The sequence below is a fragment of the Homo sapiens genome, chromosome 15 (assembly GCF_000001405.40).
Source record: "Homo sapiens chromosome 15, GRCh38.p14 Primary Assembly".
NCBI lineage: Eukaryota > Metazoa > Chordata > Mammalia > Primates > Hominidae > Homo > Homo sapiens.
The window spans coordinates 43,718,300-43,735,933 of NC_000015.10; the positions used below are offsets into that span (position 1 = coordinate 43,718,300).

The window sequence follows — 17,634 nt, forward strand, 5'->3', positions numbered from 1 at the left end:
TGGTCTTTCAGGAAACAATATGTGTAACCTGACAGCAGGTTTGTTACCTGAGCCGCTGAATATCTGATCCTTTAGCTCTGGAGAAGGGTATGCTTCTGTGAGAGGGACTAATGATAGGGGATCCCAGGGGCCCCTCAGAGAAACCCAAGGAGATTGCTTGAGTTAGGAGCCAGTGATGCAGAAAGGAACAGGCAGACATGGAGATGGAGAACTGGAGACCAGGGGTGTAATCTGGGGTTCTGCAGAAGCAAAGAAAACAAAGAGGATATGAAGGAGCTAAGAAGCAAGTAGGATTTGAGGAAATTGAAGAAGAAATGACGCCCAGGAGAAACAAACTGCACAGCAAGGTATAAACAGACGAGAGGTCCAGTCCAAGGATGGAGAATTCAGGAAGAGGAGAGCTGCTTTCAACTACTACCCAGAACCACAGAGTGTCAAGAGCTGAGCAGTACCCCAGAGATCACATACACCAAACTTTTTCACTTATGGATAAGGAAACAGACCCAGAGAAATGTGATTTGCTCATTAGGCCATTCAAATGTTTGGGTCTTTCCTTCCCCCTCCGGGATCCCCTATCATTTGGTTCTTTCTCTGTGGCCTAGTAGGTAAAAGCCCCATCAAAAACTCTGAGCTGAGAAGACAGAAACCAGATTTAAATCACTATGCACAGGGACTGATCTCCCTACACACAGAATTGCTCATGGAACAGAGAGAGAAAGAGATGTCATTCAAAATAATCTGGTCTGGTCAGGGTTAGAAGTCTTTTTTGTTGTTGTTTTTGTTTTTTGTTTTTTCCAGGGGATGGTTTGAGATGTAATCTCTCTCTGTTGCCCAGGCTGGAGTGCAGTGGGGCTATCTCACCACCGCAACCTCTTCCTTCCGGGTTCAAGCGATTTTCCTGCCTCAGCCTCCCAAGTAGCTGGGATTACAGGCACGTGCCACCACACCCAGCTAATTTTTGTATTTTTAGTAGAGATGGGGTTTCACCACGTTGGCTAGGCTTGTCTTGAACTGACCTCAAGTGATCTACCCACCTCAGCCTCCCAAAGTGCTGGGGTTACAGGCGTGAGCCACAGCGCCTTTTTTTTTTTTTTTTTTTTTTTTTTTGAGATGGAGTCTCACTCTGTTACGCAGGCTGGAGTACAGTGGCACTATCGGCTCACTGCAATTTCTGCCTCCTTGGTTCAAGCAATTATCCTGCCTCAGCCTCCCAAGTAGTTGGGGGACTACAGGCATGCGCCACCATGCATGGCTAATTTTTGTATTTTTTGTGGAGATGGGGTTTCACCATGTTGCCCAAGCTGGTCTTGAACTCCTGACCTCAAGTGATTCATCCACCTTGGCCTCCCAAAGTGGTGGGATTACAGGCTTGAGCCACTACCCCAGGCCAGGGTTAGAAGTCTTTTCCATTCTCCATCTATATCTCCCCAAAGGCCTTCACTTTACACCAACTCTAAATAGCAATTCAACACTGAAGCTATACCCAAACTTTTATTCTGTCCTTCTTTCCCTAGAAACCTTCCCCATTCTCTCCCTCAAATCCACACATGGAACTTCATTATTAATGTGCTTCTGACCTAGAAGATTCACTTAGGATCACAGAGTTTTATTTTTGTGTATTTATTTACTTAGAGACAGGGTCTTGGTCCATGGCCCAGGCTGGAATACTGTGGTATGATCCTAGCTCACTGCACCCTCAAACTCCTGGACTCAAGCAATCCTCCTGCTTCGGCCTCCCAGGATCACAGAAGAGACCTGAGGAATCCTCTGGTAAGAACTTCTCATTTTATAGACAGGGGAATTGAAGCCCAAAGAAATGGAATGACTTAACCCAGGTCACAAAGACAGCTGGGAGCAATGATGGGATTTTCCAAGGCAAATCAAAAGTTGAGATCAGTGAAATGATCTGTTGTGTAATTTTACCAATATTCCCTTTGCCCATCAAGGATACCACATCTAGTCTAAAAAGCAGACAGATGAATCCGAGGGAGAATACGACCTGAGTTCCCAACAGCTTTGTGGTTCCAGCCCATCCTGTAATCCTTCTGAATTTCTGCCCTTCATTCTGTAACAACTCTCTTATAACAAATTATCCTTCTTTCCTCATAGGGTAGCAAAAAATGAGATGGTCTAGGTTCAAACCCTGGTTCCAACATTTACTAGCTGTGTGTCCTGGGGCAGTTTCTAAATCTCTGTTTTTGGTTTTTTGGGTTTTTGTTGTTGTGGTTGTTGTTGCTGTTGTTGTTTTTACTGTAAAAAGGAAAAAACCCTAGTGTAGAGTTTTTGTGAGGATTAAATTAGATAATGCATTTAAAGTACTTAGTGCAATGTCTAGCATTCATTCAACAAAGATTAAGCACTTATTATGGGCCAGACACTGGTACAGAATAAACATTCACTCTATGTTACTATTACTATTATTAGAATAGCTCAAGATGATTTTCTCTACTCGAAACTAAAGGAGTTCTAATGAATACATAAATGATTATCTGGAAGTTGTATCTTGAGTGAAAGACCTTCAGAACAAATATGGAACTAGTTGAGTCAACCAGAGAGAGAAACAATGAGGATTCCCTCAACTCAGGATGGAAATTTTCCTGGCAGTCCACGTTCTGCTGTTGTAAGCCGTTGATTAAGCAATTCTCTTGCCGCTAAGGATTCAGACTATGTGCAAACTGATGGCGAAGTGCTTAGGGTTTATGGCAAATATCCCAGGCTATTTGAGTGTATTGGTTATTGCTTATAATTTGACAAAGTTCAACAAGAGCGAGACAAGTTCCAACCTGCAGATGACCAAATGGAAACAGAGAACAACCAGCAAATTTAAATTACAAAGGTCCAGAACAAGAAATTAATCATATGTCCTGCTAAAATGAAATGGATAAGACTGGTGATAACTGGAACACTCTGTGATCTGCCAGTTAGAATGGGTATACCTGGGAAGAGCCACAGGAGTTGAGAACTCTGAAACATCCTCACTCCCCAAAACTCCCACAGGATACTCTCTGCCTGACAAGAACAGATACCTCCCTAACCGGTTGCGGTGGCTCACGCCTCTAATCCGAGCACTTTGGGAGGCTGAGGCAGGCAGATCATGAGGTCAAGAGATTGAGACCATCCTGGCCAACATGGTGAAACCCTGTCTCTACTAAAAAATACAAAAAATTAGCTGGGCATGGTGGCATGTGCCTGTAGTCCCAGCTACTCGGGAGGCTGAGGCAGAAGAATCGCTTGAAACCGGAAGGCAGAGGTTGCACTGAGCCAAGATCCCACCACTGCACTCCAGCCTGGGCAACAAGAGGGAAACTCTATCTCAAAAAAAAAAAAACAACAAAAAAGAACAGATGCCTCCTTTTTTTTTTGAAACTGAGTCTCACTCTGATACCCAGGCTGCAGTGCAGTGATGTGATCTCAGCTCACTGCAACCTCCACCTCCTGGGTTCAAGCAATTCTCATGCTTCAGCCTCCTGAGTAGCTGGGATTATAGGTGTGTGCCACCACGTCCAGCTGATTTTTTGTGTTTTTAGTAGAGACAGGGTTTCCCCATGTTGCCCAGGCTGGTCTCAAACTCCTGGACTCAGGCAATTCACTTACTTCGGCTTCCCAAGTGCTTGGATTACAGGCGTGAACCACCATGCCCAGCCAGATGCCTCTCTTTGTAAAGTACAATTATTTTTCTCTTTTTTTGGTTTGGCTTTGGTAACTGAAATATTTATTGCTTACTAGATATCTAGGTGTTTTTCACATTTCCCAGGTCTCTTGCAGTTAGCTGGGCTCAGGTGATTAGTTCTGTTCAATGGACTGTGGTTGAACAAAGAATTTAAGAGCTAGCAAATGAGCCTCCAACAATCTCTTCCCTGTTGAGGCAACCTAGAAACCACATGTTGAGATGGCAGTGTCACAAGGTCAAAATAGCCCGAGGCTCCAAATTACCACAGCATTTACAGTCAGTCTTTGTCATTTGTGAGTTCTGTATTTGTGGATTTGCCTAGTCACTAAATGTTTGTAACCCAAAATCAATACTTACAGTGCTATTGAGGTCATTCACAGACTTGTATTGAGAGGTGACAAGTTGGAGTCACCTGATATACACGTTCCCAGCTGAGGTGGAACAAGGCAGTGCTCTGCCTTCTTGTTGCAGCTCTCATGGTGTAAATATTAGTGTCTTTTTTTTTTTTTTTTTTGAGACGGAGTCTTGCTGTGTCACCAGACTGGAGTGCAGTGGCGATCTCAGCTCACTGCAACCTCCGACCCCCTGGTTTAAGTGATTCTCCTCCCTCAGCCTCCCGAGTAGCTGGGATTACAGGCATGTGCCACCACCCCCAGCTATTTTTTGTATTTTTAGTAGAGACGGGGTTTTACCATGTTGGCCAGGATGGTCTCAATCTCCTGACCTCATGATCCGCCCACCTTGGCCTCCCAAAGTGCTGGGATTACAGGCGTGAGCCACCGCGCCCAGCCAGTGTCTTTTTTGAGCTCTATCTAGTGATGCACTTTTTGTGTTTTGGGGCTGTTTGTTGGTGATTTCACCGTTTAAAATGGCTCCTAAGCTTAATGCCAAAGTGTTGTGTGGTGTTCTTAATAGCAAGAAGGCTGTAAAGTGCCTTATAGAGAAAATGTATGCTAGAAAAGCTTCATTCAGGCCAGGCACGGTGGCTCACGCCTGTAATCACAGCACTTCAGGAGGCAAAGGAGCGGCGGATTACTTGAGGCCAGGAGTTTAAGACCAGCCTGGCCAACATGGCAAAAAACCCATCTCTACTAAAAATACGAAAATTAGCCAGGTGTGGTGGCGTGTGACTGTAGTCCCAGTTACTTGGGAGGCTGAGGCACGAGAATCGCTTAAACCCAGGAGGCGGAGGTTGTAATGAGCAGAGACTGTGCCACTGCACTGCAGCTTGGGCGACAGAGTGATACTCCGTCTCAAAAACGTCAGAAGAGACTAATTTGAGTAATAATAGTAAAACTCCAGTCTCCTGCACAGCCAGCTCTGTGTGGGAAAAAGAAAGAAAGAGAGAAGGGGCAGGGGAGAGAGGGAGAGGGAAGGAAGGAAGGGAGAAAGGAAGAAAGGAAGGAAAGAAGGAAGGAAGGAAAGGAGGGAGGGAGGGAAAAAAGGAAGAAAAGAAAAAAAGAAAAGGGAAGAAAAGAAAAAGTCAAGAGGGTATATCTGTGTAGTGTTTTGGGGGAAAAGGGAAGGAGGGAATATTCATCAAATACCTATGAAGCAGTGCCTTATGAATCTTTTTTTTTTTTGCAACCTCTGCCAGCCAGGTTCAAGCTATTTTCCTGCCTCAGCCTCCTGAGTAGCTGGGATTACAGGCGCCTTACACCGCCCCCAGCTAATTTTTGTAGTTTTACTAGAGACAGGGTTTCACCATGTTGGCCAGGCTGGTCTTGAACTCCTGACCTCATGATTCACCTGCCTCGGCCTCCCAAAGTGCTGGGATTACAGGCGTGAGCCACCACACCCGGCTGTTCTGAATCTTTTATGTGCAGCTACATCACCTGATTCAATAGGCCTGGGGAATGGGGCCTGAGATTCTTTTTCCTTTTTTTTGGTTGGAGTTCAGTGGTGTGATCTCAGCTTACTGCAACCTCCACCTCCCGGGTTCAAGCAATGCTCCTGCCTCAGCCTCCTGAGTAGCTGGGATTACAGGTGTGTGCCACCACGCCCAGCTGATTTTTGTATTTTTAGTAGGGACAGGGTTTCACCATGTTGGTCAGGCTGGTCTGGAACTCCTGACCTCGTGATCCACCCACCTCTGCCTCCCAAAGTGCTGGGATTACAGGCGTGAGCCACCATGCCCGGCCTCTATACTTATTTTTTTAATTATTTTTTAGTCTCTTGCTAGTGAGAGATTCTACACTTCTAACAAATGACCAGATGAGGCCAATTCTGCTCATCTTCAGGCCACACTTTGAGCAAAACTATTCAAGAGCATCTCCTTTGTGGATAATATATGTAAGATTTATGATATAATGCTTCCTTATTCTGTTTTATGATGTTTATTGTATTCTGATTGACAAGTTCAATGGATGATGCTCCAGTCCAGCTCTTTTTTTTTTTTTTTTTTTTTTTTGAGACAGAGTTTCTCTCGTTGACCAGGCTGGAGTGCAGTGGTGCGCTCTCGGCTCACTGCAACCTCCACCTCCCGGGTTCAAGCAATTCTCCTGCCTCAGCCTCCCAAGTAGCTGGGATTACAGGCACCCACGACCACGCCCAGCTAATTTTGTATTTTTAGTAGAGATGGGGTTTCACCATGTTGGCCAGGCTGGTCTTGAACTCCTGACCTAAGGTGATCCACCCGACTCGGTCTCCCAAACTGCTGGGATTACAAGCATGAGTCACCACACCTGGCCCAATTCAGTGTTTTTAAATATATTACATTGTTGAACTATTCAAGGCTATCTAATTCCAGAACATTTCCATCACCTGCCAAATAAACCCTATACCTATCATCTGTCAGTCTCAATTCCTCCCTCCCCAACCCCCAAGAAACCACTAATCTACTTTCTGTCTTCATAGATTTGTTTATTCTGGACATTCAATTCATTTGCCTTTTCCCCATCTTGGCCTTTTTGCCAGACATACTCTTAGGTGAGGACTTTATAATTACCACCCTATTGCCCCCTTCCATCTCTTCCCCACTTGGGTAGCAGCCCTTACGTAAGGTTGGGTGTTACTGACCTTACCTCCAGTTCAGGAGAAAGCCTTAATTAGTGATTTCATCACATCCACCACCTTACCTCAACAATTTGTTCAGACGTAAGCATATGACCTAACTTCTTGGTGCAATCAGAGTGGTGGTCAGGATATCTTTAGAGGAGTGGAGGTTGACTTACCTACAGTTAATGCCCAAATTTTAAGTGTACATTTTGTTGAATTTTTACATCTGTATATACCGGTGTAACCACCATGCAGATCAAGATATGGAACATATCTATAGCACTCCAGATGCTTCATGCTTCCTCCCCATCAGTATCTTCACTCCAAGAATAACCATTATTGTGACCCAAAGCTCAAAAATTTTGTTCATTGACTGAGAAAGGAGTCACTGGCTCTCTTCCCCTGCATATGGGGAAATAGGTATGCAAGCCTAGGCGCTTCAGAAAATTGTCTGGCTACCCAAGTGAAGCCAGTCTGAGAATAACAAGAACACGTGGAGGAGAGCGCAGACAGGAAAATTCCAGAGAAACAAAACCACAGATCTAACAACAGTGAATTTTTACATTAAATCAATCCTGAAGCTATACTACCTTTGAATTTTCCAGTCTCCAGTAAGCTATTTTATTGTTTAAATGGCTTCAACTGATTTTTTTCTCAACTCAGAATTTTTAACCTGAGTTAGAACCTTAGCTCTACCTCTTACTTGGTATGTGCTCTTGGGCAAGCTACTTAACTTACTTAATTTCTTTAGGCCTTAGTTTTCTGATCTCTAAAAATGTGACGCTATCTTCCATATATGATTATTTTATGAAATATGCATACTCTATATACAGTATATATATACTAAATATATAAATATCCTCATACATGTTAAACACTCAATAAGTGATATAATTTTTAATAATAAACATGTCTAAAGACTTAAGTCTTCTAACGATGGAATGGGATCCCTTCTAGATAATAAATCCCAAATAACTAGAAACATTAAGCATTACCTGGATAATCCTCCTTTCAGTGATGTTCTAAAAGGTGTTCCTGCTTTGATGGGAGATAGATTAACTCTGAAATCCCTTCTAACACTAAAAACCTGTACAACACTTACTGATTTGAGCACTGCCCTGAGCAATGGCAAAATGAAATAAAGAGACTTTCGGTCCAGAAACAGGTAAAAATAATATCCAATTAAAGTTAATGGTTCACAAGAGAAGCAACATGAGTAGAACACGCAATGGAAACAATACTTCTCAATTAGTTACACTAACAGCTCTGAAGATCTCCTTACTCCACAGAGGGGCCTTTACCTATGCATCAGGGAGGGAGAGGGTAAAATTAGGACTCTAATCAGGCAGTAGAGGTTGCAGGAAGGGTGGAAGCTATAATGATAAAGTCAAGAAATGAGTCAGATTCAGGAGCTGTGGAAAGGGTAGAAAGCTAAGGAGCACAGACTCCGCTGGCATCTGAGCTAACTTGTTTTGTTCTTTTTTAGAGATATGGTCTTGCTATGTTGCCCAGGCTGGAATGCAGTGGTATGATCCTAGCTTGCTGCAGCCTCCAACTCCTGGCCTCAAACAATTCTGCCTCAGCTCATAGCTGGGACTAGAGGCACACATCACCACACTCAGCTTGAACTAACTCTTTTGCTTGACTTTATGCCTTTCAATATCCCTTATCCCAGAGGCAGACTACTGAGCAGCTACTAGGAGCATCTATTAGACACTTATAAATATATATATATATATATATATATATATATATATATATATATATATATATTTTTTTTTTTTTTTTTTTGAGACCGAGTCTCACTCTGTTGCCCAGGCTGGAGTGCAGTGGTGCGATCTTGGCTCACTGCAACCTCTGCCTCCCAGGTTCAAGTGATTCTCCTGCCTCAGGCTCTAGAGTGGCTGGGATTACAGGCATCTGCCACCACACCTGGCTAAATTTTTTTTTTGTATTTTTTAGCAGAGACAGGGTTTCACCATGCTGGCCAGGCTGGTCTTGAACTCCCGAACTCAGGTGATCTATCCGCCTCGGTGTCCCAAAGTGCTGGGATTACAGGCGTGAGCCACCGCGCCCGGCCTAGACACTTATACTTTTTAATTTTAATGAACAGATATTGTTCTATCTGAATGTTTATATTTTCAATTCTCTATTTCCAACAATTCCCTTCATTATCTTTTGCTGGGCCCAAGGATATTGAAGCCATCCATTGCTTTACTTGTCTTCCAAGTTCATCAGTGCCTGCACTGCAAAGGAAACAGATTGTGAGGCTGGAGAGCTAAGAATATTCTACATATATAAATGTTTGGTGAAGACCTTGCTTTTCTGGGTTCCAGGTTCCCACAAAAGTCTTTATTAATCTTTTAATTAAGCCTTATGATTCTGTGTACTCTTTGCCATAGACAAGTTTATCAGGATTAAAGAAACTACCTTGCTGCATTTTCCTCCTTTTCACCCTGTCCTCCCTAGAGAATAAGTGGGAAGGCAGGGCTAAGAATGACTAGAAGGAACAGGATTAAATTTAGGCAACATTGTGAAGTAAGCAAAGCCTGTCTTTCACATCTTGCCCTAAATTCCATGTTCCAATATTATAAATTCCTCATTTCCCACCTGTGCCCACCACACACAAACACACAGTCCTCCTCTCTAATTTCTTATTTTCAAACTGAGTTGATTTCAACTAGATATGAGGGGGAAACCCCAGATAACACATATTAAATTGTAAAAATCTGCCCTTAACTGTTCTGTTTTTGCTTTGTTTTGAGACAGAGTCTCGTTCTGTTGCCAGGCTGGAGTTCAGTGGCGTGATCTCCGCTCACTGCAACCTCCGCCTTCCAGGTTCAAGCAATTCTCATGCCTCAGCCTCCTGAGTAGCTGGGACTACAGGCATGTGCCACCAGGCCCGGCTGATATTTTGTATTTTAGTAGAGACAGGGTCTCACCATGTTGGCCAGGATGATCCTGATCTCCTGACCTCGTGATCTGCCCACCTCAGCCTCCCAAAGTGCTGGGATTACAGGCATGAGCCGCCGTGCCCAGCCTTTTTTTTTCCTTTTAGAGGGAAATTGTATTAATCCAAATTAGTCAGAGAGTAATGAAATTTAGGAAAAATAATTTTGGATAGTTCTCAGTTTACATCAAACTCTACTATTTAAATCACATATTTATCTTTATAGAGGCTGACACTAGAAGGGGCAGATACAAGCAGAAGTTTAGAATTCATAAACCTCTTTAGGGAGTTAGGACAGTGAGCACTTGTGGGCATCCTGCTCATTGTCTGATCCCCCATAGCTCTCCAGCTTGAGGCTTAGGCCCTGCTGCTCAAGTCTGAAATGCAATCTTCAGAGAGAACAAACGTGCAGAAACTGGTGGGCTGCCCAAATCAAGCAAGAGCCTACCTTGTCCTAATTCCCAACAACTGGGATTAGACTTTCTCTTCTTGGGAAATAAGCTCTCATACCTCATAGGATTTGGGTGTCCCCTGCTACAGAAGCAGAGTTTCTAGGTTCTCTCTCAGTTAGAGAAAACTGGGACACATTCCCAGAATATGACATACCAAACCAAGAATTTGCCTATTTTAGGTGTAGGCAGAAATTGAGAAGCTGAAATGCCAGAATAGTGGACACCCTCCTCCTTCTCCACAGCTATAAATGCTATATATATATTCCCATGGTCCCCATGACTGCCCTAACTCCATACCTGCAAACTCTTGTAACTTCTTATGCTCCTCTAGGTTACACTGAAGCTTTTCTAGCAACTCAAAATATCGGAAGAGTGAGTCTCTGGGCCAAACACGGTCATCCTGATCCATTTCCATTAGCCTGGGCAGATTCTCGTGCACAAGAGTTTCCCAGTCCAAATGACCTATAGGGAGGAATGCTTCAGAAAAGCATGTCTAGATTTGTAAAAGCTGGGTAAGAGCTGGTAAATCCTATGGTGTGGGTGGAAAGGTGGAGTGGAAAGAGGTAACAGGAAGCAAGGAGGGAAAGGGTGCATCAGCAAGAAACCACTTTTTACAATGAGCAAAGAGGCCACGGCCACACTTACCCAAAGCGAAGAAGAAGTACAGGGGAAATTAAGAAGCAAAAAGAAAGTAATTAAGACCAGAAAATTGGAAAGGAGATATAGTAGGAGAGCTCCTGTTAAGACTAAGATGTCTTAAAGAGGAGTCTGAATTCAAATGGAAAAAACTCATTATTATAGTTCTTCGGCTCACCAATAGATTCAGAAAATCTGGATTCAGAAGAGGAAGAATAGGAAGAGGATGTGGATGAGACACAGGAGGAAGACTGGTACTCTCTTTTTTGACAAGGTCTCTTCTGTTTTTGATGCAGATGTTATTAAATCCTCTTCAGTGGCACCATAATTAGACTCTACTTCAGACACTTCTGATAAGTCCAAACTTTCCCTTTGTTGACTAGCTCCTCTTGAACTTAAAGAAGAAATTTATGGCTTCACAAACATTTACAAGATATGACTAGTCCACTCATTATTCTGGTTCTGCCCCTGGCCACCCCCTAAAGCTGGGGCATAAGACAATGAGGGCCAAACTACTCCCAAACTCTAAACTCAGGCACTTCCAACCTCAATCATTCATGTGTCATCCTTAACTCTTCTCTTCCCTCCCATATCCAGTCCATCAAGAAATCCTGCTGACTCTACCTTCGAAATATATCTTTTCTCAATAACTCACTGCCACCACTCTGGCCTAAGCTGTCATCATTTCTTGCCTGGGCAGCAGCATAGCCTCCCAGCTGATCTCTCTGCTCCTTCCCTTGTTCTTCTATCAACACAGCAACCAGAGTAATCCTTCTTAAACGTAAGTCACTTCATGTCACCCCTCTGTTCTGCTTGCCATTTCAAAGTCCCTACAATGGCACCCATAACCCTACAGGATCAGGTCACCATTCTCTCTCTGACTTCATTTCCCAGCACTCTTCCCCCTGCTCACTCTACTCCAGTCACAATGGCCTCTTTGCTGTTTCTCAAACACACCAAGCATGCATCCAGCTTAGGAGCTTTGCACTAGCTGTTTCATCTGCCTATTAACACTCTTCTTACAGATATCCACATGGTAATCCCTTTACCTCCTTCGAGTCTTTGCTCACATTACCTTTTCAATGAGGTCACCGTGACTACCCTGTTTAAAACTACAACCCATCTGCGGCTGGGCACGATAGCTCACGCCTGTAATCCTAACACTTTTGGAGGCTGAGGCGGGTGGAGTGCCTGAGCTCAGGAACTTGAGACCAGCCTGGGCAACATGGTGAAACCTCGTCTCTACTAAAATACAAAAAAATAAACAAATAAATTAGCCAGGCATGGTGGCAGGCACCTGTAGTCCCAGCTATTTGGGAGGCTGAGGCAGGAGAGTCGCTTGAACCCAGGAGGCGGAGGTTGCAGTGAGCCGATATATCGTGCCACTGCACTCCACAGCCTGGTGACAGAGCGAGACTCTGTCTCAAGAAAAAAAAACTACAACCCATCTGCAATCCCACCTTATACTCCCAATCTCCCTTAACCTGTTCTACTTTTAACTTTCCCATAATGCTTATCATATTTTAACAGATTACTTAATATATTCACTGCTTATTATCTCTTTACCACTACTAATATGTAAGCTCCATGAAGCAGGCATTATTGTCTATTTTGTTCACTGATAACATCCCAAGCACCTACTAAGTATTCAATAATTATTTGTTCTTTATTGTTTTTGTTTGTTTTTTTTGAGACAGGGTCTTGCTCTGTCACCCAGGCTGCAGAGCAGTGGCACAATCACGGCTCACCACAGCCTCAACCTCTCAGCTCAAGCAGTCCTCCCACCTCAGCCTCCTAAGTAGCTGGGACCACAGGAACACACCACCACATCCAGCTAATTTTTGTTCGCAGAGACAGGATTTTGCCATATTACCTAGTTTAGTCTTGAACTCCTGAGCTCAAGTCATCTGCCCACCTCAGTTTTCGAAAATGCTGGTATTATAGGCATGAGTGCCCATGCCCACCCTGCTAAATTTTTGAGATGGGATCTTGCTCTGTTGCCCAGGCTGGAGTATAGTGGTGCAATCATGTCTCAATGCAGCCTTGAACTTCTGGCTTGAACTTCAAGCAATCCTCTTGCCTTCACCTCTCAAAGTGTTGGGATTACAAGTGTAAGCCACCACATCCACCCAGTAATTATTTGTTAATGAGTGAATGAGTTTACTTCTGCTTCTGCTTTTTTTGTCCACTGCTAAACACTTGGGGTCTAGAATCATATCTGTTTCATGGAAGGTATTTGTATTAGTGTCCTGTGGCTGCCATAACAAATTACTATAAACTTGGTAGCTTAAAATGACAGAAATATATTCCGTCACAATTCTAGAGGCTAGAGTCTGAAATGAAGGTGTTGGCAGGGCCATATTCCCTCTGGAGGCTTTAGGGGAGAAGTTCCTTGCCTCTTCTACCTTCTGGCAGCTGCCTGGCATTCCTCAGCTTCCCTTGGCTTGTGGCGGCATTAACCCTAACCTCTATCTCCGTCTTCACATCGCCTTCTCCTATTCTCTGTGTCTTCTCCTCTTTCAACTCTTATAAGTACCCTTGCCATTGGATTTAGGACCTACCTGGATAATCTAGGATGATCTCATCTCAAGATCCTTAACTTAGGATCTTTTTTTTTTTCCAAATAAGGTCACATTCACAGGTTCCAGGGAGCAAAGACATGGACATATTATTTCGGGTGCCACTAGTCAACCTACTACAATATGCAGTTATTAAATGAATGAATTATCTCTCAAAGCCAATCTTCATCTTTAGTTTTCCACCCTCTCCTCCTTCATGTGTTTCTATCCCAGTTCACATACATACTCCTAACCTGGCATCTATTTTGCTGTGGCTTGACCTCAGTGCCTCACGTGACATGTTTTTTTCTCCTGCAAAGCAAAAAAAAAAAAGAAAAAAAAAAGAAAAAAGAGCAAAGACAGTTATATTCAAGCAAAAGTGTGGTAAGAAAAAAAGAGTTCATATCAGAAAGTGAAGAAAACTAATTGGGGAGAACAAATTGTAGTCACGGGGTGAAAAAAATGGAGGACTCCCCACAGTGGATGAAGAATCAGGCAATATTCTAGAGCTGGAGAATTCTTATCCTTGGGGGCAAATCTACTGTCACAAAGGGAAAAGTGGGGTCAAGGAGCAGAAACAAGAAATGAGCTCAGGAAACCCTTGAGAAGGAAAGTTGGGGTTGAAAAGGGAGAAGTAGATCTCTGGATGATCTGCCGCTTGAACATATCAGCTTTGAGCTGAACCTCCTGACATGCCATCTCCTCATGCAGCTCTTTCCTGATATTCTGCAAGTTAATGACTTCCCCAAAGGGCCATTAGGAGCTGGGAGATGGTAATGACTAGACTTGGGAAGAGGGCTTGGGTGGGGAGAATCCAAGTGAAATATCCAATCCAGAACCCAAGCCTTCCTGCTACACTAGGTTCTTTATACCCATAAGCCACCAATCCCAGCTTTCAGAATAACTTTTTCCCAACCACACTTCCCAAACAAGTTTCACCTCCTCTATGCTTACCCATCATGGCTACTATGATACTTCGAAAGATAATGGAGCCAAGCAACAACCAAAGGATGAAATAGATGCTGCTGAAGATGCGACTGACTTCAGGCACCTTCCAGACGTCCTGAAGCAGTGCATACCAATGATCCAAGGTGAAGAGAATGAACACTGTTACCAGGGAATTCGGGAGGTCCCTAAAGAAAAAAGCATGTGAATAGACGGAAGCAGAGACCTAAACCTTTCAAAAATGGTATCATTCCTACTTTCAAAGAAACATAAAGCATTTCTTTGTAGTTTGTTCTGATTTTGGCTCCTTTTCTACCATACTGTTTTTAGCTAATCATTCTTGTTTGAAGTTGTTTTATTTTAATTTAATTTAATTTAATTTAATTTTTTTTGAGACAGAGTCTCGCTCTGTTGCCCAGGCTGGAGTGTAGTGGCACGATCTCAGCTCACTGCAACCTCCACCTCATGGGTTCAAGAGATTCTCGTCTCAGCCCCGCAAGGAGCTGGGATTACAGGCACGCACCACCACGCCCAGCTAATTTGTGTATTTTTAGTAGAGCCATCTCTACTAAACTTTTGTCATGTTGGCCAGGCTGGTCTCAAACTCCTGACCTAAGGTGATCCACCAGTCTCAGCCTCCCAAAATGCTAGGATTATAGGCGTGAGCTACCACACCCAGCCTAAATTCTCCTTTATCATGAATAATCTGTGACTACCTCTCACTACTCCATTAGTCCTGGGGTATAATAAATAATAAATAGGTATTGACTGAATTTTTTAAAGATGAATGAATTTTTAAAGATCAATTTTTTAAAGATGAATGAATCACCAACTAGATAGTTTTCTAATTTTTTTTTCTTTTTTTGAGACAGAGTCTCACTCTATCATCCAAGCTGGAGTGGCGTGATCTCAGCTCACTTCAACCTCTGCCCCCCAGGCTCAAGTGATTGTCTTGACTCAGCCTCCCGAGTAGTTGAGATTACAGGTGTGCACCACCATGCCCAGCTAATTTTCATATTTCATATTTTTAGTAGAGACAGGGTTTCACCATGTTGGCCAGGCTGGTCTTGAACTCCTGACCTCAAGTGATCTATCTGCCTGCCTCCACCTCCCAAGGTGCTGGGATTACAGATGTGAGCCACCATGCCCAGCGGTTTTTTCTAATTTTATTCTCCACTGCTCTATGGACTCCACTTAATAGAAGATCACTCGTAAATTTAGCAAAATTTAGCAAAATTAGCAAATTTAGCAAAATAGAAGATCATTCAAAAAATTATTCCTATTAGTTTGCTGGTATGAAATGATATGCAAGTAAATGGGTATGTTACATAAACATATGTGATCCTAAATAATGAATATATACAAATTATAAAATTAATAATATTTAAAAATTGCTAAAAAAGTAAAAAGTTTCCGGGAAGGTATCTAAATTTTCCTACCTTTCTTTTTAGTTCCCCATACACAATTTATTGAAAACATCAGAGCTTGTATAGGATAAATTCTAGGACTTTCCTAACTCAATACTCTTACAAAACTATCTGTTAGAGTCTAACAGAGTCCTGAGAGGCGCTGACCAGATTGAATTATAATTCATAAGCAAGATTATCTACTCTAAATTCAAGCTGATTTTCTTCTAGAAAACACTGATTAGTGAGGTTTTGTTAATATTTAAAAAATATGTAACACTTCATAAATTTGTGTTTCATCCTTGCACAAGGGCCATGCTAATCTTCTCTATATCGTTCCAATTTTAGTACATGTGCTGCCGAAGTGAGCACTGATTAGTGTTTTCTAGACAGAGATCAGGAATAGGCGTGTGCATGTGTAATATGTAGAGATTGGGATAAAACCAGTGATCATATTTGAGAATCATAGTAACATTAATTGATCACTTATAACGTGTTACATACTGTGCTAAGTGCTTAAATGCATTACCACATTTAACCCCACACTCTTATGAAGTAGCACTGCTATTATTCCCCCCACCTTTCTTTTTTTTTGAGACAGAATTTCACTCTTTGTAGCCCAGGCTGGAGTGCAGTGGCTCAATCTCAGCTCACTGCAATCTCCGCCTCCCTAGTTCAAGTGATTCTCCTGTCTCAGCCTCCCGAGTAGCTGGGATTACAGGCACCCACCACCATGCCCAGCTAATTTTGTATTTTTAGTGGAGACAGGGTTTCACCATGTTGGCCAGGCTGGTCTCGAACTCCTGACCTCAGGTGATCCACCCGCCTTGGCTTCTCAAAGTGCTGGGATTACAGGCGTAAGCCACCATGCCCAGCCTATTTCCATTTTTCTTTTCTTTTTCTTTTTTTTTTTTTTTTTGAGATGGAGTCTCGCTCTGTTGCCAGGCTGGAGTACAGTGGCATGATCTCGGCTCACTGCAATCTCTGCCTCCCAGATTCAAGCAATTCTCCTGCCTCAGCCTCCCGAGTAGCTGGGACTACAGGTGCAAGCCACCACGCCTGGCTAATTTTTGTATTTTTGGTAGAGATGGGTTTTCACCATGTTGGCCATGATAGTCTCGATCCCTTGACCTCATGATCCACCCGCCTCAGCCTCCCAAAGTGCTGGGATTTCAGGGGTGAGCCACTGTGCCTGGCCCCCAGTTTTCAAAAGACGTAACTGAGTCACAGAAACCAAGCTCAACCACTGGAGTGTACCGCTATTTAAAGATGCCTGATGACAGTGTGGTTTGAATTTGCAAAACCCAGAATAAACATGGAACTAGCTGCCCTAACCTCAAGATCAGAGCTAATACCATTCACTGTTCTTTTGCTTTCTCTTTCCCTCTCCCTATTGTGTTCTATTTCAGTTTCTTGGAATAGACTGTACTTTTTATATTACTATACTTTGGACAAGCTTCCTGGTCTCTTAGCCAAATTTTCTCCCCTCACTCAGCTGTCACTCAGCTCTGCTTACGAGAATACATGATACTCCAGGTCCTGACGAGGTAAATGGGTGTACTCTGAGAAGACGTAGACACCAGTCACAACAAAAATGTAGAAGATGAGCAGCAACATCAAGAGGAAAGTCATGCTCTAGAGGCCATAAACTCAAGTCAGATGTGGGCCAGACTAGGCTGATCTCCACCAACAGCCCAGTCAAGCCCACCTGGCAATCTCCCACCAAACCCTCTCTTGCACTGCTGAACCCAGTCATCTCTGAACCATGGCACCTGTCCCCAGCCCCTTCTCATCCAATAACATTTCACAGGACGTTTCATTGCCTTCTTTGACCCATCCAGATTTGTTTCATATTCTTTTTTTTTTTTTTAAACGGAGTTTCACTCTGTCGCCTAGGCTGGAGTGCAGTGGAGCAGTCTCGGCTCACTGCAACTTCCGCCTCCTGGGTTCAAGTGATTCTTCTGCCTCAGCCTCCTGAGTAGCTGGGATTACAGGCACACACCACCAAGCCCGGCAATTT

The 17,634-nt window shown here is 43.3% G+C and overlaps 1 pseudogene, besides 3 other annotated features; it reads right to left on the reverse strand.

The window, feature by feature from the left end:
• On the reverse strand, positions 15,880-15,986 carry RNU6-354P (RNA, U6 small nuclear 354, pseudogene; annotated as a pseudogene).
• Positions 17,195-17,274: an enhancer, noted in NCBI's record as "active region_9318". NCBI's record gives its function as "activates an Ori minimal core promoter by ATAC-STARR-seq in GM12878 lymphoblastoid cells {active_cell/tissue: GM12878}" and the evidence as "EXISTENCE:reporter gene assay evidence [ECO:0000049][PMID:35858748]".
• Positions 17,285-17,354: an enhancer, noted in NCBI's record as "active region_9319". NCBI's record gives its function as "activates an Ori minimal core promoter by ATAC-STARR-seq in GM12878 lymphoblastoid cells {active_cell/tissue: GM12878}" and the evidence as "EXISTENCE:reporter gene assay evidence [ECO:0000049][PMID:35858748]".
• Positions 17,435-17,484: an enhancer, noted in NCBI's record as "active region_9320". NCBI's record gives its function as "activates an Ori minimal core promoter by ATAC-STARR-seq in GM12878 lymphoblastoid cells {active_cell/tissue: GM12878}" and the evidence as "EXISTENCE:reporter gene assay evidence [ECO:0000049][PMID:35858748]".